Below are 26,482 nucleotides of genomic sequence, written 5' to 3' on the forward strand. Positions count from 1 at the left end.
GAAAAAGAAAAACAGAAATCCAAAATTATAATTGGAGACTTCAATAGGCCTCCTCTCAGCAATAGAACAAGTAGACATAAAATTAATAAGGATATAAAAAACATGAACACTATCAACCAAAATAACCAAATTGACATTTATAAAACATTACACCAACAGCAGCAAAATACTTTTTTTCCAAATGCACATGGAACATTCACTGAGAAAAACCATATGCTAGTCCATAAAACAGTGTTCAAGGAGAAATCTGTGGCTCTAAATATTTGTATGAGAAAGGCATAAAATCCAGCATGGGCAACATGACAAAACTTTGTCTCTACTAAAAAAAAAAATTAGCCAGGTGTGGTGGCACATGCCTGTGGTCCCAGGTACTCAGGTGTCTGAGGTGAGAGGATCACTTGAGCCCAGGACACTGAGGTTGCAGTGAGCTGTGATTGCTCCACTGCACATCAGCCTGGGTGACAGAGTGACAATGTGTCTCAAAATAATAATAAAAGGGCATAAAATCAGTGATCTAAGCATCTACCCTCAGAAGCTATAAAAGGAAGAAGAAATTAAACCAAAAGTAAATAGAAGAAAGGAAATAATGTGGAAAAGAGAAGAAATATTAATAGATAAGACATAAAACAAATTTGATAATACAGAAAAAAAGAAAACAAAAAGCTGGTTCTTTAAAGATTAGTAAAATTAACAAATGCTCATTAGACTAATCAAGAGGGAAAGAACAGACACACTACCAATATCAGGAAAAAAAAGGGGAGGCATTACCACACATTCTAAAAACACTAAAATGATAGGGGAATTATTACAGACAATTTTTGTGCCAATAAATAAAACTCAGGTTAAATGAACAAAATTCCTTTACCAAATTAACAAAGAAACAGAAAATCTGAACAACTCTATATCTATTAAAGACACAGAGGGCCAGGCGTGATGGCTCACGCCTATAATCCTAACACTTTGGGAGGCCAAGGCAGGTGGATCACCTGAGGTCAGGAGTTCAAAACCAGCCTGGCCAACGTGGTGAAACCCCGTCTGTACTAAAAATACAAAAACTAGCCAGATGTGTTGGTGCGCACCTGTAATCCCAGCTACTTGGGAGGCTGAGGCAGGAGAATATCTTGAACCTGGGTGGGGGAGGGGGGCGGAGGTTGCACTAAGCCAAGATGGCGCCATTGCACTCCAGCCAGGGCAATAACAGCGAAACTCCATCTCAAAAAAAAAAAAAAAAAAAAGACGTGGAATTCATGGTTTCAAACCTTCCCACAAGAAAATCTCCAAGGCAATATAGCTTCACTGGTGAATTCTATCGAACATCTAAGGAAAAAATATCACTAGTCCTGCACAAACTCTTTCAGAAAACAAAGGAGGGACTATTTCCCAAACTATTTTATGACACCAACATTAACCATGATACCAAAACCAAACAGAGATGATAAGAAATGTACACGCCAATATCCTTCATAAACACAGATGAAAAAACCATTAACAAAATATTAGCACATCAAATCTAATAACACGTAATAATAATACCATAAGCTTAAGTAAGGTTTGTCGTGGAATTCAAGCTTAGTTCAACATTTAGAAACCCATCAGTATAATTCACCATATTAAAAGAACAAAACCTATGATCATCTCAATAGATGCAGAAAAAACATTTAACAAAAATCAATACCCACCTTCACGGTTTTTTTTGTTTTTTTTTTTTTTTTTTTTTTTTTTGAGACAGTCTCACTCTGTCACCCAGGCTGGAGTGCAGTGGCGCAATACCTGCTTGCTGCAACCTTTGCCTCCTGGGTTCAAGAGATTCTCGTGCCTCGGCCTCCTGAGTAGCTGAGATTACAGGCGTGTGCCACCATGCCAAGCTAATTTTTTGTATTTTTAGTAGAGACGGGGTTTCGCCACATTGGCCAGGCTGGTCTCGAACCCCTGACCTCAAGTGATCCACCCACCTCGGCCTCCCAAATTGCTGGGATTACAGGTGTGAGCCCAGCCACTTTCACGGTATTTTAAAAACTAAGAATTAAAGAGAACTTTCTCAACCTTACGGGGATATCAGAAAATTCAAAGCTAATGTCAACAATGAGAAGAGTGAATATTTTCTGCCCAAGAACAGGAACAAGGTAAGGATGTACACTCTTACTACTTCTATTCAATACTGCCCTGTAGGTCCTAATCAATGCAATGAAGCAAGAAAAAGTAGTAAAATACAAATTACAAAGAAAGATATAAACCCATCTATAATTGCAGATAACATCATCACGTACGTTTTTTAAAATCCAAGGATTTACAAAAAAAGCTACTACAACTAATAAAGCTTAGGAAAGTTGCAGTATACAGAATCAATATCCAAAAATTAATGGCGTTTCTATAAACTAACAGTAAACATGTCAAAAAATACTCTCAAATGGCCAGGTGCAGTGGCTCACACCTGTAATCCTAGCACTTTGGGAAGTCAAGGCAGGCAGATCACTTTAGGTCAGGAGTTCAAGACCAGCCTGGTCAACATGATGAAACTCTGTCTCTACTAAAAACACAAACAAATTAGCCAGGCATGGTGGCATACACCTGTAATCCCAGCTACCATGATTCTCCTGGCTGAGGCTGGAGAACTGCTTGAACTAGAGAGGCGGAGGTTACAGTCAGCTGAGATCGCACCATTGCACCCAGCCTGGGTGACAGAGTGAGACTCTGTGTCCAAAGGGGGTGGGGGGGAATACTCTAAAATAATAGCCATTAAAACAGCATTGAAAAACACAACTTACTTAGGAATATATCTGATAAAAGTATGTTCCAGATCTATATACTAAGAACTACGGAACAATGTTGAGAGAAATTAAATATCTAGAGAAATGAAGAGCCAGACCATGTTCATGAACTGAAAGATTTAAAATCGTTAAAATGTCAATTTTCCCAATTTGATCTACAGATTCAATACAATCACAAATAAATCCCCACAGAAAAAAAATTTTTAATTGACACGCTGATCCTAAAACTTATATTGAAATGCAAAACACCCAGAAGAATCAATACAATTTTTAAAAGAACAAAGTCGGAGAATTTATCCTAATTTCAAGACATACTATAAAATTTCAGTAATCATCATAGTGTAGTACTGGCATAACAGACATGTAGATCAAAGGAACTGAATATAGAACCCAGAAAAAAGCAATGCACACATAGAGTCCATTAATTTTTAACAAAGATTCTAAGGTCATTCAATAAGTCTTCAACAAATGATGTTTAAATAGTTTGCTAAACGTATGCAAAACAAAACCAGAACTTCAATCCTCACCTCGCACCATGTAAATTAACTTAAAATAAGTTACTGGATTGCAAGCCTAAACCTAATTAACTAATGCTGTAAAACTTCTGGAAGAAATCATAAGAAAAAAACTTTCCTGCTTTGGGATGGCAAAGATGTCTTAGGACATGAAAAGTATAGATTTATAAAAGTAATACTTGACTTAATCAAAATTTAAAGCTTTTGTTATTCAAAGAAGACAGTGAGAAAATGAAAAGGCACACCACAAATTAGGAGAATACATTTGTAATACATCTATCTGCCAATGAACTTGTATCCAGGATATTCCAAGAATTCTTCCAATTCAGTAAGAAAACAACCTAATTTTTAAATTGGGCAAAAGATGTGAAGAGATATTTCCCAAAAGATATACGAATGACTTAATATGCACATGCAATGATGTTAAACTTCATCTGTTATCAAAAAATTACAAACTGAAATAAGTTACTACATACTGCACATCCCTAATTCAAAAATCCAAAATGCTCCAAAATCAAAACTTTTTGCATGCCAACATGACACTCAAAGGAAATTCCAAATTTTAAATTTTCAGAGTAGGGACGCTCAGCCAGTATAATGCAAATATGCCCAAATCTGAAAAAATCCAAAATCCAAAACACTTGTGGTTCCAAGCATTTTAGATAAAAGATTCACAACATGTACTACACGCCACAAGGATGGCTGAAATTTGTAAAAATTCATTGTACTACATGCTGCAAGAATGCAGAGCAATTAGAACTCCTATAAAACTCATGGGATATTAAATGATACAAACATTTTATTTTTTGCAAGTTTGGCAGTTCTTTATAAAGTGAAACTCCTAGTTATTTACAGAAATAAAAACATATGTCCCACACAAAAAGCAGTACATTAATTTTCACAGCCAACAGCAAATTGTGGCATATCCAAAAAAGAGACTACTATTTAGCAAAAAAAAAAAAAAACCCTACTTAAGCAATAATATGAAACCAGAAATAAGGATTACATACTATATGATTCCATTTATTAAAAATTCTAGAAAGGGCAAAATGATTCTACAGTAACAGCAGATTGGTAGTTGCCTGGAGGGGAGGAAGGCTGAGGGGCAAGGGGGAGACCCTGACTGCAAAAGGACATGTATGAACTTTTTTGCATCATAAAAATGTTCTCTACTTTGATTTCAGTGGTTTCACAGATATACACATTTGTCAAAATTATGAAACCGTACACTTAAAGTGAGTATATTTTATTGTATGTAAAGTATACCTCAATAAATGTAATAAGAAATGTATGTATTAATGGAAGAATACATGTAAACAATCTCTCAAAGAAAACAAACTACTTTTTTTTTTTTTTTTTTTTTTGAGATGGAATCTTGCTCTGTTGCCAGGCTGGAGTGCAGTGGATTGATCTCAGCTCACTGCAACCTCCACCTCCCAGGTTCAAGCGATTCTCCCACCTCAGCCTCCAGAGTAGCTGGGACTACAGACGTGCGCCACCTCGCCCAGCTAATTTTTGTATTTTTAGTAGAGACGAGGTTTCACCATGTTGGCCAAGATGGCCCCAATCTCTTGACCGCCCACCTCGGCCTCCCAAAGTGCTGGGATTACAGGCATGAGCCACCGTGCCCAGCCCAAAACAAACTACTTTTAATAAAACCAAAGTATCATCTTGCACATCTCCTGGTAAGTGTAAATCGTTTAGAGGTATACACAATATTTTCAAATAAATTATTTTCATGTCTGACTACTTCAGGACACTGATTAAATGATTTGTATTTGTTAACCTTAACTATAAGAGAATTCTTGTGAAATTTCTGGGAATTGAACTATTTAATGAAGTTCATTAGTGATATTAAGATGGTTTGCTTCTCAGCTGCAGTAACAGACTATAAACAGAAACGTATATTATTTACGAGGCAGGCACTGTCTACACAAACATGAGTGGCTCCTTCCCCCATAGTAACATACACTTTACACTGCTGTGGATAACAACATGCCCACTTAAAGAACTACATCTCCCAGCCTCCCTGCAGTTAAGTAAGGCCTTGAAGTATGGCCAGAAGTGTTGTAGGCAACTTCCTGGAGGTTTCCTTAAAGGACGGTGTGTCCTTCCCACATTTCCACCTCCTCCTAACCTAGAATGCAACCTTGATGACTGGAGTCTGAATAGCCATCTTGAACTATATGCCATAAACTAAGAACAGTGTAGTAACAAGACAGAAAGAGCCCAGATCCCTTGACAACCAAATCAGTTGTAAAATGCAGGCCTCCAAGCTGCCTGTACAGAAAAAGAGATTACTTTTTAAGCTATTTGTCTATTTTTAAATAAGCATATGATTGTGATACTAAATCATTTTGACATTATTTTAATAACTGGCTTTTACTTTAAAAAAAACTGAAAGACTTTTATCGAGGTGATCATTTTTATTTTTTAGATCACATGGTTATGTAGGTTTTTTAACCTTGCCCCAGTCATCAATCAAAACAATAAGCTATCTTTATAATTTTTCATTTTCCAAATGATTCCTCAATTTGGAACAGTCTAAGACAAAAAAAAATCTATTTCCCTATCTCTGGGAAGAAATTGTAGGCTGTATATTACTCCATTAATCTCTGATGAAACTTTAAAAAAACGTAAACTGTATTATCACTCCATTAATCTCAGGCAAATCTATATGCTCCAGTGATTTCTACCTTAGCACTTGTACTAAATTATATGGTCTACACTGCTAATTTTCAAAAGGCTCGAAAAAGAAAGAGACCAATAATGTTTGGAATAGCTACGAGGAGCTTCACTGAAGTCCTAAAAGAATTTAGATAGAAGAAAGAAAAACATAAAATACAAATGTACTACTGGTTAAAAGTTCAGGCTTTGAATCAAGAGATTCAGCTCCTGTGTGACCTTGGACAAGCTACTTAAATTTCTTGTTTCAGTTTTCTTATCTGAAAAATGAGAATAGTAGACTCTACCTCAAAAGGATCTTGTGAGCATGAGAAAATGCATGTAGCTGGTAGTTAAGCAGTGCACGCCTGCAGCAAGCACTCTTTACAAACAGCAAAAGCTCTGAGGTGAGAACATGTAAAGGTCTGACTTGAAATACAGATTCCTTTTAGTGAGTGGTTGGAAATTTTATTATAAAAAGAAAAAGAACGGCCGGACACGGTAGCTCACACCTGTAATCCCAGCACTTTGGGAGGCCGAGGTGGGCGGACCACCTCAGGTCAGGAGTTCGAGACCAGCCTGGTCAACATGGTGAAACCCCGTCTCTACTAAAAATACAAAAATTAGCCTGGCATGGTGGCATGCACTTGTAGTCCCAGCTACTTAGGAGGCTGAGGCGGGAGAATCACTTGAACCCGGGAGGCAGAGGTTGCACTGAGCGAGATTACACCACTGCACTCCGGCCTGGGCGACAGAGTGAGACTCCATCTCAGAAAAAAAAAAAAAAAAAAGGCTTTTTAGAGATTAAACACTTGAAAAATAAACTCACAGAAGAAATCTGGATACCCATATAGATGAAAAGATGCTCATAATCTCACGAGAAATCCAAAAATTGAAAATTTAAATATTGAGGGTTTTTTTTTTTTTTTGTAGAGGCAGAAGTTAAAATGAGTAAGTTCCATTACAGGCAGGGACAGAAAAAAATAGGCATTATATATTGTCCATAGAAATGTAAACTGACACATCTTTTTAAACTGTTTATAGCTATAGCTTTCCAATTTTAATGTATAACTGTACTACACAGCAAAAAATTGAAAGAATCTTAACGTTTCTCATAGTTGATGGTTAAACAAACAATAGTACATCCATCTTATGAAACAGGATACAACTGCTCAAAAACATAATAAAAATGAGTAAACTATATCTAAATTTACTGACATAAAAATACTTGAAGACAATGTTAAGCGGAAAAAGCACATTGCAGGAAAAGGTGGAGAATTATTTCTTATCTGTAATTTTTTTAAGTACAAATCTGTCCATCACCAACAGAATGCATAAACTGCGATATACGAGAACTACAACTGTAGAATTGTGGGAACATAACATTAAAGGCAGTTTGCAAAAGAATACGATTCAATATTAAAAGTCCAAAAACATGTAAAAATATACATATAAATACATATGTGATTAAAACTTTAAAAATTAAAGAATGATACACATGAAATTGAAGTAAGAGTTACTTCTGAAGGGAGAGAAAAGAGAATGGGAGAGGAAGAGCACACACAGGACTCCGTAAGTGGTGAAAAGTTCTTTCTCTTAAACTGCGTATTAGGTACATGGGTGTTCATTGTACCATGAATCTTTCTACCTTATGTGTGATTTACACATGCTCTGTTTATCTATTCAATATCTAATAAAACAATTTTGACACATGCAAAAGCAAGAAAAAAAAATCTGGAATAATACAAATTAAACCTCTGGAAGTTACCTTCCTGAAGGTGAGGGGAGGGATCCTTCATGTTTTGTGTTAGACACTTCCATACTGTTTGAAGCTCACACTAATTACATAAAATTGTATAAAATTTTTAAAAGAAATTACTTTTCCACTAAAATTGTAATTATGAAAATTATAAGCACATGGGAAATGTTAGTGAGTACAGCTGAATAAAGAATTCTATTTACACTGTGATTACATCTATGTACAAAAATGTGCACATTAACAAGAACAGAAGAAGAATTGGGGTAAATCTGATCTAATGGAGCGGCTGGAACATGGACAAATGTTTTACAGTTTTCATTTCTTGGAAGTTGTATTTCTTGGAAATATTTGGTATTTCATTAGTACTACCTCACTTGGAGAGAAAGTAAAGAAAAATGACAACTGCGGGAAAGCCAACTCTTTACCTTCAGGGTAGCCAAGTGAAAAACCTCCCCACATACGAAGGCTGAATTAATTTACAGCCAATCTACAATGGATAGTACACGCTGTGCCAATAAGTGCACTCAGAACAACTGGAAAGGGTCCCCACCACACCAAGGAGATTACATCAAAAGGTTCTGAAGCGCATATGTCCATTTTAGCGCTTAACTGAGCACTGGTGATGCACATAAAGTCCAACAGTCAGGGTTGCACTCCTGAACACGAGGAACCCAGGAATGTGCTGAGGAAAAGGGGGTATGGAGAGAGAGGCATGGAACGAGGAAGGAAAAATTTCTCCAACATGTGAGGCAAAAAATACAACATGGCATAACAATTACGCTCTCAATAACAAAAAAAATATTGTGCACTCAGAAAGCTAAGTGTCACGGAAACAAAGAATAGAATGATAGGAACAAAAATTTGAAAGAAACCAAAATCAAAACAAGCAATAAGTACCAATGATAAACACTGGTTTGTGGTCTCTACAAATGCCCCCGCTATTCTATCCACTGGTTCCCCAAATCTGGCCATTTCCACAAAGGCATGAAGGAAAACAGATGGAATGTCTATTTCACCCTCTTACCAAAAATATCACTGATTTGAAATTAATATAAACAAAACCTTCATGTAAAAAATTAAACGAGAATATCCCAAAGCAGATCTGCAGTAGGAAAATGCATCTGCTTTCTGGGCTTACCACTATTAAAAGTAGATGCTCTAGGTAACAAAGGCTGATACAGAGCCAACTGCTGTTAGGTTACCCTTCCCCTGCCCACCTTTTCTTTCTTCCTATTAGGACTTTTCCATGCCCATTTCTTATAACTAAACTTGCATGAATCTTCCCCTGCCAAAATTCACACCTCCAATCACCACCGTCTCTACCCACGACCTGCCAAAGGCCCCACTCTACCCATTGCACCAGACTTGCCTTCTCCTATCTTCCCCACCTTTTTTCTGCCCCTCCCTTCCCTTATAAAACCTACTCTTATTGTCTCAAATATTTTCTGTAGGCTGGGCATGGTGGCTCATGCCTGTAATCCCAGCACTTTGGGAGGCCAAGGCAAGCGGATCACTTCAGGTCAAGAGTTCAAGACCAGCATGGGCAACACAGTGAAACCCCGTGTCTCTATAAAAATACAAAAATTAGCCGGGCATGGTCATGGGTGCCTGTAGTCCCAGCTACTCAGGAGGCTGAGGTGGAAGAATCACTTGAACCTCAGAGGCGGAGGGTGCAGTGAGCCGAGATTGTGCCGCTGTACTCCAGCCTGGGCAACAGAAACTCAGTCTCAAAAAAAAAAAAAAAAAAACTCTGGAAACAGGCAGATTATAAGTGCTAACGTTTGTTTTCACTTTCTTTTCACTACTCCTTGCTTTAAAACTTTGATTTCTGTAGGGTTTAAAAGCAAGAACCCAGGCTCAGTGAATACTTTCTTATATACACAATTGTGATCAAAGCTTAAGTCTACTGTTTAACAACTTCAGCAGATAGATATTGCCAACTGTTCCTCCCCGTTTTGCATACACAAGAATGCAAATGCCATAAAACCAAGAACATCTGTTTATCATCTGATTCCTGTTCTATGGCATATTTATAATTGATCACCAAAGCCTGTCAACTCTACCTCCAAAATATTACACGATCTATTTCCTTCTCTCCATTCCTACTGGCCCTGCGTTATTTCTCACACCTAGACTGTTCTAAGAGCTTCTTCCTGCCTTTGGTTTTTCCCCTATGACAATCCATACTCCACAGGGCCCACATGGGTTTTCTCTCTAAAACATAAATCTGATCATGCCATTATCCTCTTTAAAACAGTTCAGGCATTCCTCTGTGCATACAGAATTAACTCCCAATTCCTTCATGTCCTTCAATTGGCCATCAAACATCACATTATCTTCTACCTATTAAAAAATAGGTATTAAAGAAAAGGTAAATTTAATAAAAGAATATTTGCAATGATGTCTAAAAATGTATGGTCTGTTATTGTATTATTTACATAATTATTTATATAACTAAAAAATTCATTCATCTCCATCATACAATATTACCACCAAACTCAAACTTTTACAAATGGCTAAAGAGTTATGTTCACATAACATACTAAAACTAGACTGGGCTGTTTTACTTATTTCTATTTTCAATTCCAAAATTAAAATATAAGATAGATTACAAGGAATCTAAATCAATAGATATTTTCTAAAATGGGTGTTAACATATATAACTAAATTTCTCACAGCTTTCTGGAAATTGTTAAAGTCAGCTCTGTGGGTTCTTAACAGCATATCACACCTACCATATGAGAAAGTTTGGCAACAAAATCAAAGTTACTTTAGAAGATAAACGCCTACCTTAGTGAGTCCCACTTGTTTTTCCATCTGGAATATTCCTTGAGTTTACCATATAAACCACTAACACAAGCTACTCATCTTAACATTCATTAGAATAGTTTCCTAGAATAGGTAATTCTTCTACTTCAAATCAAATTTATACAATTTACTAAAGTCAGCTTATTAGCTTATATATAACAAACTATGGATTCTCATGAGAATCATTCCGCTGTTTAATTAAATGTTATAGGATCTTGCAGATTCAAGAATAGCACCATCTGTCTGGGTTGCAAAGCTCAGTTTCACAACCTTATCACCAAATAGCAACAAAATATCATCTTCATACATATCTCTCTCAAGTAATTTGTAGACAACTAAAGAATGTAGTCTATTTGGGATCATGAAACCTGATTCAATCTGTGCAGATGATTACACTTTTCAAGTTAAAGCGACATACTTTGAACACTGTGTTTTTAGTAACTTAAATGTTAGTTAAGAACTTGTATCTCAGGAGGCAAATATTTGTGCTCTTTAGTTGCTAAGATGAAGATTCATGCTCTGATATAAATTCTAAATGCTAAATGGCTCAGGTGTCATAAATCTGAAAATTTTTGAAGTACCTTTTCTTATTTTTTTAGAATAACTATTATGTAGCTAAATTTTCCTAAAATATCTATAGCTCTAGGATTACATCACAACGCTTTCTGACAGGATTCCCATTCTCTTTTATTATGTAAAAAAAACTAAAAAAAGAATTATAAATTAAACTATGTAATCTGAAGACCAAAAAAAGTAAAACTGACTGAGAAAAGGTCTAAAAATCTCATTATATTTCTGAATTGAAAAACAGAAATAATACTTGCCACTGCAACTTGTAATCTAAACAACTAGTAGAGACATCCCTACTACAGGTAAAGGGTCGTCTGCACCTCCTCCCACACTAACTATTCAGGCAGACTACTATGAAGTATAATTCCAAATTCTATTGTGCTAATCTCCAACTGTGGAAGAAATTACTGAGACAACATGTGTGGGCTAGCTACTAGCTATCTTACTAGGCAGTCTCCAATGAATAAGGCAACACCAAGTGGTCAAAGGTAAGAAGTTGGATATCACACAAACCAAACTTCAGTTTAAACCTTAAGAGATTATCTCAACAGGATACATTTATTTATATATCCCAAGGCTCTAAAATGAGCCTCAATTTGATGTCTGACTCTTGCTAGTCAGACAGAGAGAAGACACAACACAGAATTCTACTCTACCCTTAGGATAATTTGCCTTGATCCTCAAAAAGCAAAAATACCACCACCACTTAATTGGTCCCAATATCCTGTCTTGCCAATCAATGGATTGCTAAACCCACCTCCACTGAAGCTGTATGAAAACAAAGTACACTGAATCGCTAGACTCAGAACCTGAGAAGGCAGAGGTTCAAGCAAGGCTGGAATTCCTGGCATACATCCACAACGTATGTATGCCAACATACCCAAAATGGAGCTTTCCCTGGGCTTTCACTCATCAGCAGCAAGGCCCTCATCAGAAGGGTATTAAACTGTTAACTCTTAGGCAGCAGTTTAGAGCAAAAAGCAGAACTAAAATAATAAACTGCAAAGAGAGAAGACACTGACTAAAGAGGCAACCCTTAAAATAAGATTTTCTGGGGCAGCCAACTAAACTGTCTCTAAAAGCAATTCCAAAGGAAAAGGACAAAAAAAATTATAAACAATGGCAACATCATTTGATCCATTTCAAGGGGGCCTACTTTGAACAATACTCCTCATTTCAGCAGATATATCTCAGTTCTGATATGTCTAGTTCAAAATCAGTTTTATACTTGTGAAATTGTAACTTTAAAACCTTTAAAGGAAGGTAACAAAAATAAAATGATTGCTGCAATCAACTAACAAAATGGAAAATTTCTAGCTAAAATTTTTAAAAATTGATTTTGTTTATTCGGCCTGAAGCTCACTACTTTTAATCCTTGAACTCAAAAAACACTCAAGTTACAAGATTGAGATTGTTTCCCACTTCCTTCACACTTATTCCTTTCTTAGATCATCACATCTTGTATTTCTAAGAGGTGTCTTCATCTTTTCTAGCACTAACACTATCGGCTGGGTTTTTGATAACCATCCTCCAGCCAGGCTTGTTTTATCAACTTTCCTTGTATCTTCCATCTTTCCTTCTGTCTTTCCACTATTGATGCTCCAAAGTCAACAAACACAAATCTACCTTTCAGGCTCTTACCCTCCCCTACTCCCCCATTCCTGCTTGCTTCACAATCAACCTTCTGAATCAAACTTAAAAGTAAGCTGCACACAATGGTGCACGCCTGAAATTCCAGCTACTCCAGAGGCTGAGGCAAGAGGATTACTTGAGTCCCAGAGTTCAAGCCCAGCCTGGGTAACACAGCAAGACCCCACTGCCCATCAAACCACCATCTCTAGATTGATTAGACAGACAGACAGATAGAACTGAAAAGTGTCTGTACTGGCTTACCTTGCCATTCATTCACTCCTCAACCCACTTATCCAAGATTCTACCCTCAACAGTCAAATGTAATTATTTGAACTACCAAGCTGCCCAAATAGCAAACCTTCCCTCTCTTTCACTCCTTACACCTCTCCCCTTCAAGGTTCACCACGATTGTCTCTGAAAATCACCATTATTTCATTTCTTTACCTTTAAGTCAGAGAAAGCAAATTAGATTGTCTATTTAAAGCACATATAACCTATACCTTCACAACTTAAAAGCCTAGGCTTCATAAGAAGTAATCTTAAACCAAAATCGAATTTGTTTTCAATGCACAGAATTTAAACAATGAAGGGTTACACAGTTCAACAATTCTAATTTGTCTGTGTAAGACAGCAGTCCTAGAAAGGCTTTTAAACACATTATTAAATGTAATACCATTTAACACACTTGTTTTTCCTCAATTCACTTCTCATAATAGTTTCTATATCGTCTTGGATTATCTCCCGTTTTAGTTTCATATCCCATCTGCTCATTTGAGATTCACGTCTGTCCAGTTTCTGAAATATTTGTCACTTTAGTCATTAGCATTTTGCGTAATATAGCACTTTTTTTAAAGTTCAGAACTGATTTTAGAAAACTGAAAATTATTTTAACATCATTTCTTAATCTAAATTGGCCTGCCCACACTTCAAATTTTCCACCTAATAAAAATTCAATTTCAATAAGTCTTTGTACTGTTTTTTAAAAGAAAGCCAAGAACCAGGACCATAAATTAGAAGTGTTCTCCTACATACCACCTCAATAAAGATCCTCAAGAATAAAGACTAAAAATTGTCAAGCTTCCAAAGAATGCCCTTCCCCTTCTTCTCTAGCAAGCCACATCCATCCATTCCTTCAACATCCAGTTTTATTACTCCCCTTTCAGGTTTCTCTGGCTACAAAGTATTATCAGATATTATGCGGTCCATGTCACTCTCCCTCTGCAGAAATTAAATAGTGCATGCAGATCTTTTTTCCGCATATCAGTCTAGCCCTTTTGTTAACCCAAGCTAGATTTTAATAATTTCTGATGTACATTATTCCAAAATACATGTCTCAAATTTCTCAAACATAGCGTACAAAACATTAACATTTCTAAGTATTTGTTTACTGGCTACCCCGTCCAATCTCAGCCCTAATTCCCTTTTCATCCCATTGGATCTCAGAAGTCCTCATTTAGCAAACGTAATAGCCAGCAGAAAGCTTGTCTCCAGGGCTGAGTGAAGGAGGAGAGGAAAGAGAAGGGAAGTGCTAAAATGCAAAGAAATACAGAATCTTTTCCTGATGACATCACAGAACCTGCCACTAGTATCAGCAAAGAGAAAGCAGCAGTGGGTGCCCACAAGCAGGGAAAGGAAAACCTGCCTTCAAAACTGCTGCTCTTCCCACAGGGAGCCATCCTCACCTCTCCACACTCTTCCACACAGCAATCCTCTCCTTGGCCTAGAAGAGGAGCTATAGCTCCCGCTCTGACTGCCAGGACTATAAGTCAGAGAAAAGGTGCTCCTGACACCCTACATGAGAACACTAAGCATAAGTTTATTCCCACAAAAATGCTGCTATAAATAGCATTTGAGTTTTATAATAGACCTAATTAAGTACAATATACAAGGTAAATAGGCTAACCATCATTTGTAGCAAGAGATGGGAGTTTTTTTGTGAAAACAAACTTACAAATTAACTTTTTCTAGTATTTTAGAACACAGGAGACCACCTACATGTAAAATTCTAAACCTCTAGATACAACTTAAGACACTATTCATATTCAACATGACTAATACAAACGCTACAGATTCGTGGGAGGGCTTTCCTTCCTTCAACAAGCCTAAACAATATTTTTAGATACTGCCACATTATTAAACAGAAAATAGAAATTAGCCAGTAGCTGAGTTCTCTCTGTTCAAAACACAGTAAGGGTTGTGACATGTGTGTCAAACTAAAACATGATTTAGTCTTTAAGAAGAAAAATATATTTATTAAGTACTATTCCTGACATTCCCTGAGACAAATCTCAAAGTGTTAATAGAACTGCTATTTAAAGTTCAAAGAGCACTCCAGAACTGCCAAGGAATTAATAGCTTAAACTACCAAATAAGAGCCACGGTTCAATTCCCAATCTCAGCCAGCTATAGCTCAGAGTTGGTACAGCAAAATCACCCAGCGCATTAAAGGCACACCATGCAACTGTGAATCATATATGGTTGTAACGAAAAACTGTTAAAAACTAAAAATGAATTTCAAGTTTTTCTTCTCAATCTTGGCTTATTTACGAGGAAAGACACAAGAACAATTTAATCCTCTGCTCCCTAGAAAAAAATACAAACACAACATAAATGCTATACTTAAAACAAGTCATTTTACCATTCCAATCTCCTGGTTAACTGCCTCGGGCTACTCTATAACTTTAGTTGTAATTTACTAAAGGTCTCTTCCTACTAAAGAACATCATCTAGTCATCCAAAGCGCTTTCCTTAAAAGGTACTCAAAATGATTTTTCACGCCTCCTGCCCTCCAACACCAAGTTTACAGGAGAAACTGAGGCACAGAACTATTACGTGATCATACTAGTAAAAATGTTTAATACAACTCAAGTTTCCCTACTACCAGGTTATTTCCCATTTTACTGGGCTCATAGAAAACAATCTTTTGAATGTTGAACAAAAGCACTGCTATACAGCTTAAAGAATGAAAGTAAAGGAATTCTGGATCAAGCCCCCAAACAAAATCCCCAGAAGGCTCAAAAATCTATAGGTTGCCTACTATGCTACAGAAAATCTAAACACTAAATGAATTCTTATTCCTTTGAGGAGTAAGAACATGTCTCATGATCAGTTGGAATTGTCTTTAATAAGGAAATTCTAGAATTCATCTAAAATATTACCAAGCCACAGTACATACAGTCTAGATAAAATATATTCAGAACACAGAGTTAATCATCAAAATAAGCTGAAATAAAAACAGCATACTTGTGATCAAGACCCAAATGGTCAATAAGAGCTCCCTTGAGGAATGGAGAATAATCGTCCAGGAATTCCATCACTTAACAGATAGTTAATGAGCACCTAGCAAAGATGATTTCAACAGGGTCACTCTCCTGCAGAAGCTCATCTGATGATCAGAGGTACACAGAGGGAGGTAGGGGGTAACTAGTTCTGCCTGTGGTGGTCAGAGGAGGTAACATTTGAACTTCTTAAGTAGCATTGTGCCAGGCTTACATGCAGGCACAAATACTAGGAGCTAGTTCCAAATGTTCCAGTTAGATATATGTATGTTTTTCCTTATTTCTCTTTAGGGCATGAAAATTCAATAGTCAGAATTGTCAACATAAAATGTTTTTTGTCAAACCAATTATACTCTTCTGAATACCTTATTAGTGCTCATATTAAGTTCAGATAAATTTAATCATCCTTCTTAATAATATTGAAATGAGGAAGCCTCCTGTATTATACTCAAAAATACTTCCTCATACTCACACCTGTAATCCCAGTACTTTGGGAGGCCAAGGCAGGAGGATCATTTGAGGCCAGGAGTTTGAAACCGCCTGAGCAACATAGTGAGACCCTATCTCCCCTCCTCCCAGCAAAAAAAAAAAAACACTTCTTCATAAATTTGTCAAATGTTTTTTAAGGGAGAAGAAAAGATCACAATAATTCTTATTCAGTTTAATATCCTTTTAGATTACCAATTTTTGAAATTTCTACTCCCCACCATAAAACTTGTTTACAATTACATATTTTATTTGAAACAAGTCTGTCACTCCAATTTAATTTTAATATCAAATGTCTTAAATACATTCAACTCAGTGACTTAATACAAATTAAGAATTATTAAGTAAAAAGATCTAATGAAGACTTAAATATTTTCCTGCTTTATCTTCTCCTATCAATTTTTTTTCCCCATCAACTTTTATTTTAAGTTCTGGGGTACATGTGCAGGTTTTGTTACATAGGTAAACATGTGCCATGGTGACTCGCTGCACAGATTAACCCATCACCTAGGTTTTTTGGTTGTTTTTGTTTTGTTTTGTTTGAGACAGTCTCGTTCTGTCATCAGGCTGGAGTGCAGTGGCACAATCTCGGCTCACCGCAACCTCCAACTCCCTAGTTCAAGCGATTCTCCTGTCTCAGCCTCCCAAGTGGCTGGGATTACAGGCACACACCACCACGCCCAGCTACTTTTTGTATTTTCAGTAGAGACGGGGTTTCACCAAGTTGGCCAGGATGGTCTCAATCTCCTGACCTCATGATCAGCCAGCCTCGGCCTCCCAAAGAGCTGGGATTACAGGCCTGAGCACCGCACCCGGCCTATCATCTAGGTATTAAGCCCAGCATCCATTAACTATTCTTCCTGATGCTCTCCCTCCTCCCCGCCCCCCCAATCTACTTTTAAAGTTAAAGCCACAAATTTAAACTATGCAAAAAAAAAAAAAAAAAAAAAAGACACTAATGAAATTTTGATGCACTCAACTCAAGAGGATCCTTTAACAGTAATGGAGGCAGGGAGCAGCGGCTCATGCCAATAATCCCAACATTTGGGGAGGCTGCGGTGGGAGGACTGCTTGAGCCCACTGCACTCCAGCCTTAGTGACACAGGGAGACTGTCTCAAAAACAAAACAAAACAAAACAGACAAAAAAGAAAAACAGTAATGGAGTTTTACTATACTGAAAAATAGTACAAAATGTAGAAAGCTGTCAGCCAAGGCTCTGCGCTATTTCAAAGTAGTAGAAATACAGTTTTAATTAGATTCTACACCACAATTCATCTAGAATGAGAAATAAACACTGAGAAATATACATAGTAAACCAGAGTATGGAAATGCCAATGAAATAACATTTTGCCTTGGACACAACTGACTCTCCTGTCATCTAGAAAGAAGTCAATGAAAAAATACAAGGCAGTTTTCTTTTTTTTTTTCAAACTAGAATCAAAATATATTCTAAAAAGCACTTTATTAACTTAAAAAAAGGAGGACAACTCTACTCCAACAAAGATAACCAAAACATGCTAATATAAATGCAAGAAAAACAGGAGTTCCTAAAGGAGGATTATTACAGCTAATATGTGAGGATAAAATCTATTCTATACCACAGATAATTTTTTTTTTTTTTTGAGACAGACTCTCGCTCTGTCGCCAGACTGGAGTGCAGTGGCACCATCTCGGCTCACTGAAACCTCTGCCTCCTGGAATCAAGCGATTCCCCTGCCTCAGCCTCCCAAGTAGCTGGGACTACAGACGCGCACCACCACACCCAGCTAATTATTTTCTATTTTTAGTAGAGACGGGGTTTCACCATGTTGGCCAGGATGGTCTCAATCTCCTGACCTCGTGATCCGCCTGCCTTGGCCTCCCCGCAAAGTGATGGGATTACAGGCTTGAGCCACCACGCCCAGCTAGATAATCTTAAAGTTCAGTAATAAAACAAGGGAGTAAAGGAACACGAATTTTAAACTATTTTTCTATCAACTAAAGCAAAGACAGAAAACGCTGATGTACATGACTTCATACTAAACAAAAATTGGGCAAGCATACATATTTCATTCATGCAAATGAGTCTGAATTTACAATTCGTTTATGTTAATATTTACTAAGATTAATGAAATATCATCTCCCCTATGTAATGAAGTGAATTCCCCCAACAGAACAAAGCTAACACCTTTAAATCTTTCAAATAAACAATGAAAGTATATATACTATAAAAGAAAATTATCAGCCGGGCGCGGTGGCTCGAGCCTGTAATCCCAGCACTTTGGGAGGCCGAGGCGGGCGGATCACAAGGTCAAGAGATAGAGACCATCCTGGCCAACATGGTGAAACCCCATCTCTACTAAAAAATACAAAAATTAGCTGGGCATAGTGGCGCGCGCCTGTAGTCCCAGCTACTCGGGAGGCTGAGGCAGGAAAATCGCTTGAACCCAGGAGGCGGAGGTTGCAGCGAGGCGACTTCGCACCACTGCACTCCAGCCTGGTGACAGAGCGAGACTCCGTCTCAAAAAAAAAAAAAAAAAAAAAAAAAAAGAAAGAAAATTATCTGAACAAGCTCAGAAAGAAGTTAAATGACTCAAGAGGGGGGAAAATGTCCTAAATTCCAAGAACACATACAAATACTGATTCGCTAATTCTGAAACTCTAAGCAAGTCTTATGAAACAAATACGTGTGTGTGTGTGTGTGAGTGTGTGCGCTAGAATACTATACAGACTTTTAGGCTACCCAACTACCTCACTTTGAAATACATTAAATATAATTTCTTAAAATAGAAATGTTATTATGACAGGCACGCCTGTAATCCCAGCACTTTGGGAGGCCGAGGCGGGAGGATCACGAGGTCAGGAGATCGAGACCATCCTGGCTAACATGGTGAAACCCCATCTGTACTAAACATACAAAAAAAAAATTAGCCAGACATGGTGGCAGGCGCCTGTAGTCCCAGCTACTCGGGAGGCTGAGGCAGGAGAATGGCGTGAACCCGGGAGGCTGAGGCAGGAGAATGGCACGAACCCGGGAGGCGGAGCTTGCAGTGAGCCGCGATCGCGCCACTGCACTCCAGCCTGGGCCACAGAGCCAGACTCCGTCTCAAAAAAAAAAAAAAAAGAAACGTTATGACAAAACAGAAATTCTGGTGGCCAACATCACACAACAGTTTGTAAATCAGATCTGCACAAAATACATCTGAAATAAATGACACTAATAACAATGTTGCATGTATTTTTTTCTTCATTTCTACGGTTGCAATGCACAGTTCAATAACAGTAATACCTAATAGTCAACCATACTACTAATTCTCATAAAATCTGTCTAATCTGGCTAACTGGTTAGCTCCTGTGAAATAAATGTATCATTCACTTTCAAAAAAAACACACACACACACAAATCAGTACTCCTACTACTAGCTTAAAGAAGGGGAACATTGTTATTATTGTTATTTTCTTCAATCAAAAATAAGTCGAATGTTTCAAAAAAAATCTACTCTATCTTTGATTCAAAGTTGAGAGACAGCTGAATTAACTGTTCATAAAAAATAAACAATTTTTCTGTTGTCTGTTTCTCTATAAATATGTAAATAGTAATATTTACATATTTTCATTGAGATGAGTTTCATCTCAATTTTAAATTATTAGGCAAAAATAATTATAGAACAAAATTAACTTAGTTATCACAATTTATAGCACTAGTACAAACTGGTGAGAGAGATCTCTGAAAGTGGTAAGGAATACAATTAAAAACCAGGCTGGCCGGGCGCAGTGGCTCATGCCTGTAATCCCAGCACTTTGGGAGGCCGAGGCAGGCGGATCACAAGGTCAGGAGTTCCAGAGCAGCCTGACCAACATGGCGAAACCCCATTTCTATTAAAAACACAAATAAATTAGACAGGCATGGTGGCAGGCGCCTGTAATCCCAGCTCCTGGGAGGCTGAGGCAAGAGAATCCCTTGAACCCGGGAGCTGAATGTTGCAGTGAGCCAAGACTTCACCAGCCTGGGTGACACAGTGGGACTCTGGTCTCAAAAAAAAACCAAAACAAAAAAAAAAAATGATAAGCTATATAAGCACCTGGCATAAATTCAATAAATACATACTATCCTAAACACACCCCCTTGCCCATTCTTCTCACAAAGAATAGGCCCTACCTAACTTCTTCCCAGTGAGTACTTCAAGCAACATCCACAGCAAAATATTTGTAGCATACAGGCCTAAGGTACATTATTGTCTCTTTAAAATTATGAACTCATCACACATACAAATGGCTCTTTAAAACAGTCCAGTAAACTGCTACACTATGCCTTAAATTGCTGTCTATTATGTACTTAAAAATATTTACTAGCAATTGGAGGTTAATATGGCAACTATTACCGGGTGGCAATTATTGCTATTAAAAATATATAAATACTGTAACACCATGTGCTACTAACAACAAAATGCTAAACCGAAAACATACATTAACAAATTGTAAATATTTTCATTACAGAAAATGATAGCCAGGCGTAGTGGCTCATGCCTGTAATCCCAGCACTTTGGGAGGCTGAGGCAGGTGGATCACCTGAGGTCGGGAGTTTGAGACCAGCCTGACCAATATGGAGAAACCCCGTCTCTACTAAAAATACAAAATTAGCCGGGCGTGGTGGCACATGCCTGTAATCCCAGGTATTCCGGAGGCTGAGGGAGGAGAATCGCTAGAACCTGGGAGGCAGAGGTTGCAGTGAACTGAGATGGCACCTTTGCACTCCAGCCTGAGCAACAAGGCGAAACTCCGTCTCAAAAAAATAAAAAATAAAAAGAAAGAAAATGAACCATCATGGAAAAAAATGCTTTAAACATAAATTATAAAATCACAATGAACTGGTACAAAAAAATACCTTGTGTATTTTGGCACTTTGAAAATTAGAGAAATCATTCCCTTTTCCTAATTTCCATTTTATAGTCCACCCTATTTTGTTCTAGCGCAAAAAAAAAAAAAATTCAGACTTTCTACATTTACAACTACCTTCCCATTCTGCAAAAAAATCCCTTAAGACAAAAAGAAAGTAGGTCAACAATAGATTACCTTAAAAGCTTCAAATATAGAACTAATGGTCTTCAATAGGAATTATGTACTAATGGGTGTACTAGTGTCTCAATTCAGCAAGAATTTGAGATTATCACCCAATTATCCATAGTCAGGAAGATTCTAAGCAAATAAAACATGAAAGTGGAGCATACATATCTAAGAACTAGAGATCACTCCCTCATATCAAAGAGCACATATTTAAATCTAGTTAAAGGGCACAAAATCACTTTCTCCATATTAACTCAATAGAGAAAAATAAATGTCTACTTAACATCCAGAAATTATGTCTTCTCACAAGAATGAGTTCACATACCATAGGGTGCACTGTTACACTTTTCAAAAAGGCAGATTTAACACACTTTTAACTGAATGATTAACTGAGTGAATATATAAAAAGTCACCCAGAAATGTGATGGACAGCATAAGAAAATAGTTTTGAGTCAGAAAGGCACAGGCAGGCATGCACTTAATGCAGCAGCTACAAATCTCACAGCAGTTAGAATAAGAAACTTATACAATGACCCATATCATATATACACAATGGCATTTTTCACACGTTAGGAAAAGGGAATGGATGCTGAAAAATTAATTTAAGAAATTTGATTCCGTGCAGTAAAAAATCAGAAAATAAGTAAAAGACTAGCAGAAATCTTAAAGTGTCTGATTGATTGCACAATCAACTTTTGGTAAGCCATAATGAACACCTCAAGGTAATGGAAACTGGGTGGGTATTACCACGGTACAGAACTTAATCTCTTATTTCAATCTAACTAATGAGAGTATCTAGGTAAATTCTTTATAAATACTTTTCTCTGCAAAAAAAAACAAAACAAAAAAAAAAAAAACCCTGCAGGCCAAAAGAAAAAAATGCATGCTATTATTAAACCATAAAGCGTTCTTATAAAAAAACATGATTTTGAACAAGTGATTACATCTCCTTCAGAAATAACTATGATATACAATGTACTTTGGGCAACATATTTTTAATATTCCAGGTTGCTACTGCTGTATAGCATTTTCAAAAAAAAAAAATCTCAATTTGGAATCAGAAAAATGTACAAGTCAGCAGTTTAATTAATTTACATTTCTTCAATAGCACCTTATCCACACTCCACGTACAAGAGAATGAAGACATTCTACGTTCCTTTAAAAAAAAAAATCAACTAAGCATTTCTATGGTTCTCTAGTTCAAAGTTGCTACTTAAAAAATAATTCTTTTTAAAAAAGCATATTCAAAAATCAATCCCTTGGTTTAAAGAGGTTTAGGGGAGAAATATCTCAAACACAAACCTTTAGTCATTCAAAATCAAAGTACAGAATCCTCTCCTACAAAATTGCTTCTCCAAAAGAATCTCAAGCATTTTATCTCTGTAACGTTATCATCCTTACTTAAGCTTTAAAAAAAAAAAAAAAAGATAAAAGAAATGATATACCCTAAAGACTGGCTATACATATACTTTCATTTGTCTACAGAATCCGTATATACACAGCCATTACCAGTCAGCATAATATATGATAATTTGGGAGATCGCTCTACTTGGTTATTTTAATTACCTGTAAGTGTCAATGTGGTCACCAGTAACCACACAAAAACCATTTTAAATACCCCTTGATCAATATGTTTGCTAATCTATGGAAGTCCCTGAACCTGACTGATACTAAATGATAAGACTGAGGAGGGAAAAAGTTGAGGCAAAAGGGGGTTTTACTCCCACATACCAAAAAATCAAGGGAAAATTATCACAATACTAAGAGAAAGAATTCCAACTTATAAATGAATTTTAAGATTAAATATCTGGATTAAAATATTTCATTTAAAAAAATTTACCTGATTTTACTAGAGTGGGAGCAATGATACTATGTCTTTGTAGGTAAAAATCACGTGTTGATTTTTTGGTCTGCATTGTAACACATTTAATAAAGTAACACTTTCATTTGAAAAGTTGGCGAGAATTTGCATTTCTCCATTAGTCTCATAGCAAAAAGGCATCTATGCCACCCATAATTAAATGTAACTAATTACAATTTGAACACTAAATTATTTATCCAGTGTAAACAAGGATTAAGAGGGAAATAATGCTTCTATCTACAGCGGGGGTTACAGAAAATAATTTCCAAAATGCATGCTCTCCAAAAGGGACTCACCTCCCCCCCAAAAAAAACAGGGTACACAACTTAAAACAAGTTGGGTGTTTTTAAGGCTAAATTAAATAAACCGTTCAGCCAATTTTCCAATTATATTCTACGCTTGAAACGTAATTGCCTTACATCTGTTTACAAATCTTTGCTCAATATTTAAACAAATTCGTACTCTCCTGGGCACATAGCTATACATACAGTAACTCATGCACAAAGCACATATTTAAAGACCACGCACTGCAATTATTAGCCTAAACGCCAGGTTTAACAACGTGAATGTTTTCAGAGGTAGGTAATACGACCCAATAAAAAGCAAAGATGGCATTTACCACCAAATGTCACTGACACCGCCAGGAAAAGAGTTGCTGGAGCCCTATACATTTTTAATTTCGATGAATCTAGACACCGTCGGCGGGTGCCAGGCTTCCACGAGAACAATTGACACCCTAACTGCTTCAAGATTAAGGCAGGCGATTCAAATCCGAAGGAAAAGTTGTCAATTATCAGAAAGAGAGAGCGCGAGAGAGGCGAAGGCAGATAAAAGCGATGTTATCAAACCGACCAGCTTGTTGCTTTTGTGTGTGTGTGTGTGTGTGTGTGTGTGTGTGTGTGTGTGTGTGCGGATTCGTTGTTAGGATAGAGAAAAACAGTTTTTAAAAGACACAGGAGGAGAGAAAGAAGAAAAAGCTTTCTCCACCTTCCGTCGGCTCGGTGCAATGGCTTTACGGCTCTCCAGCATAGTAAGCCCCGAGAGGCAGGCGGCTGTCGATGTTTACAATCGCGGGAGCTTCGGGTGCAAGAGTCCTTTCCTGACACAATCGCATTCAATCAACTATTTTAGGGCGAAATTGCAGGTGTCATTATGGAATTTAAAAAAATTCAAAAGGCAGGCGGGCGGGCAGGCAGCTGATCCAACAACGGGGGAAGAGGTTGCCGATCGGAGGCGCGGCAGCACAAGGCAAAGCCTTCCACATTTACGGGGGGAAAAAAAGGGGGGAAAGGGGAGGAGAAGGGGAGTGCGATTGCAACAGAGGGTGGGCGTTCGAAGTGCGACCCAGAATCCGCAGCTCCGAGACTTCCACATGCAAATTCCACGCCGAGCGCCGCGCTCACAAATGATTTTTAAAGAGCCAAATAAACACTGGATGGGATCCAAGGCGAGAGAGAGACGATCCAAAAGGGGGAGAATCGGCGAGAGGCGAACGGCGGGGAGACGCGAGGGAGGGGCGAAGTCCCGGCGGCGGGAGGAGAAAGTTGGTCGGCGGCGGAGGTCGGGGACCCCCCCCCTTCCCCGGCACAGCCCCCTCCCCGCAGCCCGGCTACTCACCAGCGAAAAGAGGTTGGAGTGACAATCCTCCAGGCTCGCCCCGTTCGCCACCCAGTTCGCTGCCGCAGTCATGATCCTCCGCGAGCCCGGCCGCCAGAGCGGGGCATGTCGGAGCGAGGCGTCCGAGGCGAGGCCGGGCCGGGCGGCGGCGCCTCGCCGGGGAGCGCGGGGCGGCCGGGCCGCCGCCGCCGCCGGGGGAGGGCGCGAGGGCCGGCGGGCAGGCGGGAGGCGCCGCGGCGACGCCGCGCCGGGGGCAGCGGGCCCGGGCTGGCGGGGGGGGCGCGCGCCCCGGGCCGGCGCTGCGGGCCGGCCACCGCCTCCGCCTTCCCTGCTCCTCAGCCGCCGCCGCCGCCGCTGCTGCCGCTGCCGCCGCCTTGTTTATCTCCAGCCACCGACTCCCCCTCGGCCCCCGCCGGCGCGCGAGGGGAGGCGAGCCCCGGAGCCGCCGCCGCCGCCTCGGAGCCGCCGCCGCCGCGGAGCGCGAACTCGCGAAGGGGGGGGTGCGGACGAAGCCAGCGGGCGACCCCGGCAGCCGAGCGACGTCCCCTCCTTCCTCTTCCTCCCCCACCCCCCCCTCCTCCCCAGTCAGCCTCGCTTCTCCTCCCTCCCCGGGCTCGCTTGCTCTGACAGCAATGGCGGCCGCCGACCGCGGCTCGGCCCGCCATTGGCTGGCGCTTGGTCACGTGACGGGCGCCGGCCGCGCGGGGGGAGCGAGGGGCGGGCGGGGGAGGGGTCCGGAGTGGCGGCGGCGGCGGCGGCTCGCGGGAGGCGCTGCTGAGCTGAGCGCGGCCGGGTCCTCCGGCCGGGAAGAGGGAGGGAGGGAGGCAGAGAGGGAGAGAAAGAAGTGCGGGCGGCCGGGCTCCCCGGCGGGCGGCGGACTGCCGGCCCGTGGCTGCCGTGGGCTGCCCCTCGTGGCCGCCCCGCCCCCTCGCGGTGCACTGATCGTGGCGGGGCGGGACCGTGGGTCCCGGGCGCGCCCGTGGTGGCCGCGGAGGAGGGCGCGGGACCCCCGGCCTGTGCCCTCGCAGCCCAGGCCGGCTGGCGTGGCGCGGCGGCCGCGATGTGGGCCAGGCAGCGGGTCCGAGTGCCCTGGGGAATGTGTCCTCAGAGGCTCGCGCCGCCGTCCGCCTTTTGCAGAGGAGAAAACTAAAGCACAAAGGGATTAAATCACTTGCCCGAGGTCGCACACTTGGGAAGAGGAGTCCAGATTCGAACCCGCGCACAGTGAAGCCAAGCTCTTGGACAAGGTTTCACAGGCTTCGCCCAGGGATATTCACGGCTGCCATAGACGGAGCGCTTACTGTGTTCCAGACACTGTGCGTTTAATACAGAAATGTTTATTGAGCCCTTACTCCTAGTTACTGTGTGCACTCATTCATTCATTCATTCATTCATTACATAAATGTTTCCTGAGCTCCTGCTGTGTGCCAGAATCTGTTATAACTTCCAGGCACTGTGCTAAGGCCGTGTTGGGAGCAGA

At 39.5% G+C, this 26,482-nt stretch overlaps 1 protein-coding gene across 5 annotated transcripts in view, besides 2 other annotated features; it reads right to left on the reverse strand.

Moving 5' to 3' along the window:
• MED13L (mediator complex subunit 13L) overlaps nt 1-25,636 on the reverse strand; it is a 319,118-nt gene extending 293,482 nt beyond the window's left edge. For 3 of the 5 annotated variants that reach the window (XM_047428608.1, XM_017019090.2, NM_015335.5), the window contains exon 1: nt 25,003-25,636. Coding sequence is in view for 4 of the 5 variants with exons in the window: in XM_017019090.2 (XP_016874579.1) it covers nt 25,003-25,074 (72 nt within the window). In the remaining variant the exon portion in view is untranslated. Of the gene's footprint in view, nt 1-24,372; nt 24,636-25,002 lie in introns of those variants that run through there. The other 2 variants (XM_047428607.1, XM_047428605.1) reach the window with 1 other exon arrangement.
• Nucleotides 25,465-25,934: a silencer, noted in NCBI's record as "silent region_4899". NCBI's record gives its function as "represses an Ori minimal core promoter by ATAC-STARR-seq in GM12878 lymphoblastoid cells {active_cell/tissue: GM12878}" and the evidence as "EXISTENCE:reporter gene assay evidence [ECO:0000049][PMID:35858748]".
• Nucleotides 25,985-26,044: a silencer, noted in NCBI's record as "silent region_4900". NCBI's record gives its function as "represses an Ori minimal core promoter by ATAC-STARR-seq in GM12878 lymphoblastoid cells {active_cell/tissue: GM12878}" and the evidence as "EXISTENCE:reporter gene assay evidence [ECO:0000049][PMID:35858748]".

This window comes from Homo sapiens, chromosome 12 (assembly GCF_000001405.40).
Source record: "Homo sapiens chromosome 12, GRCh38.p14 Primary Assembly".
Classification (NCBI taxonomy): Eukaryota; Metazoa; Chordata; class Mammalia; order Primates; family Hominidae; genus Homo; species Homo sapiens.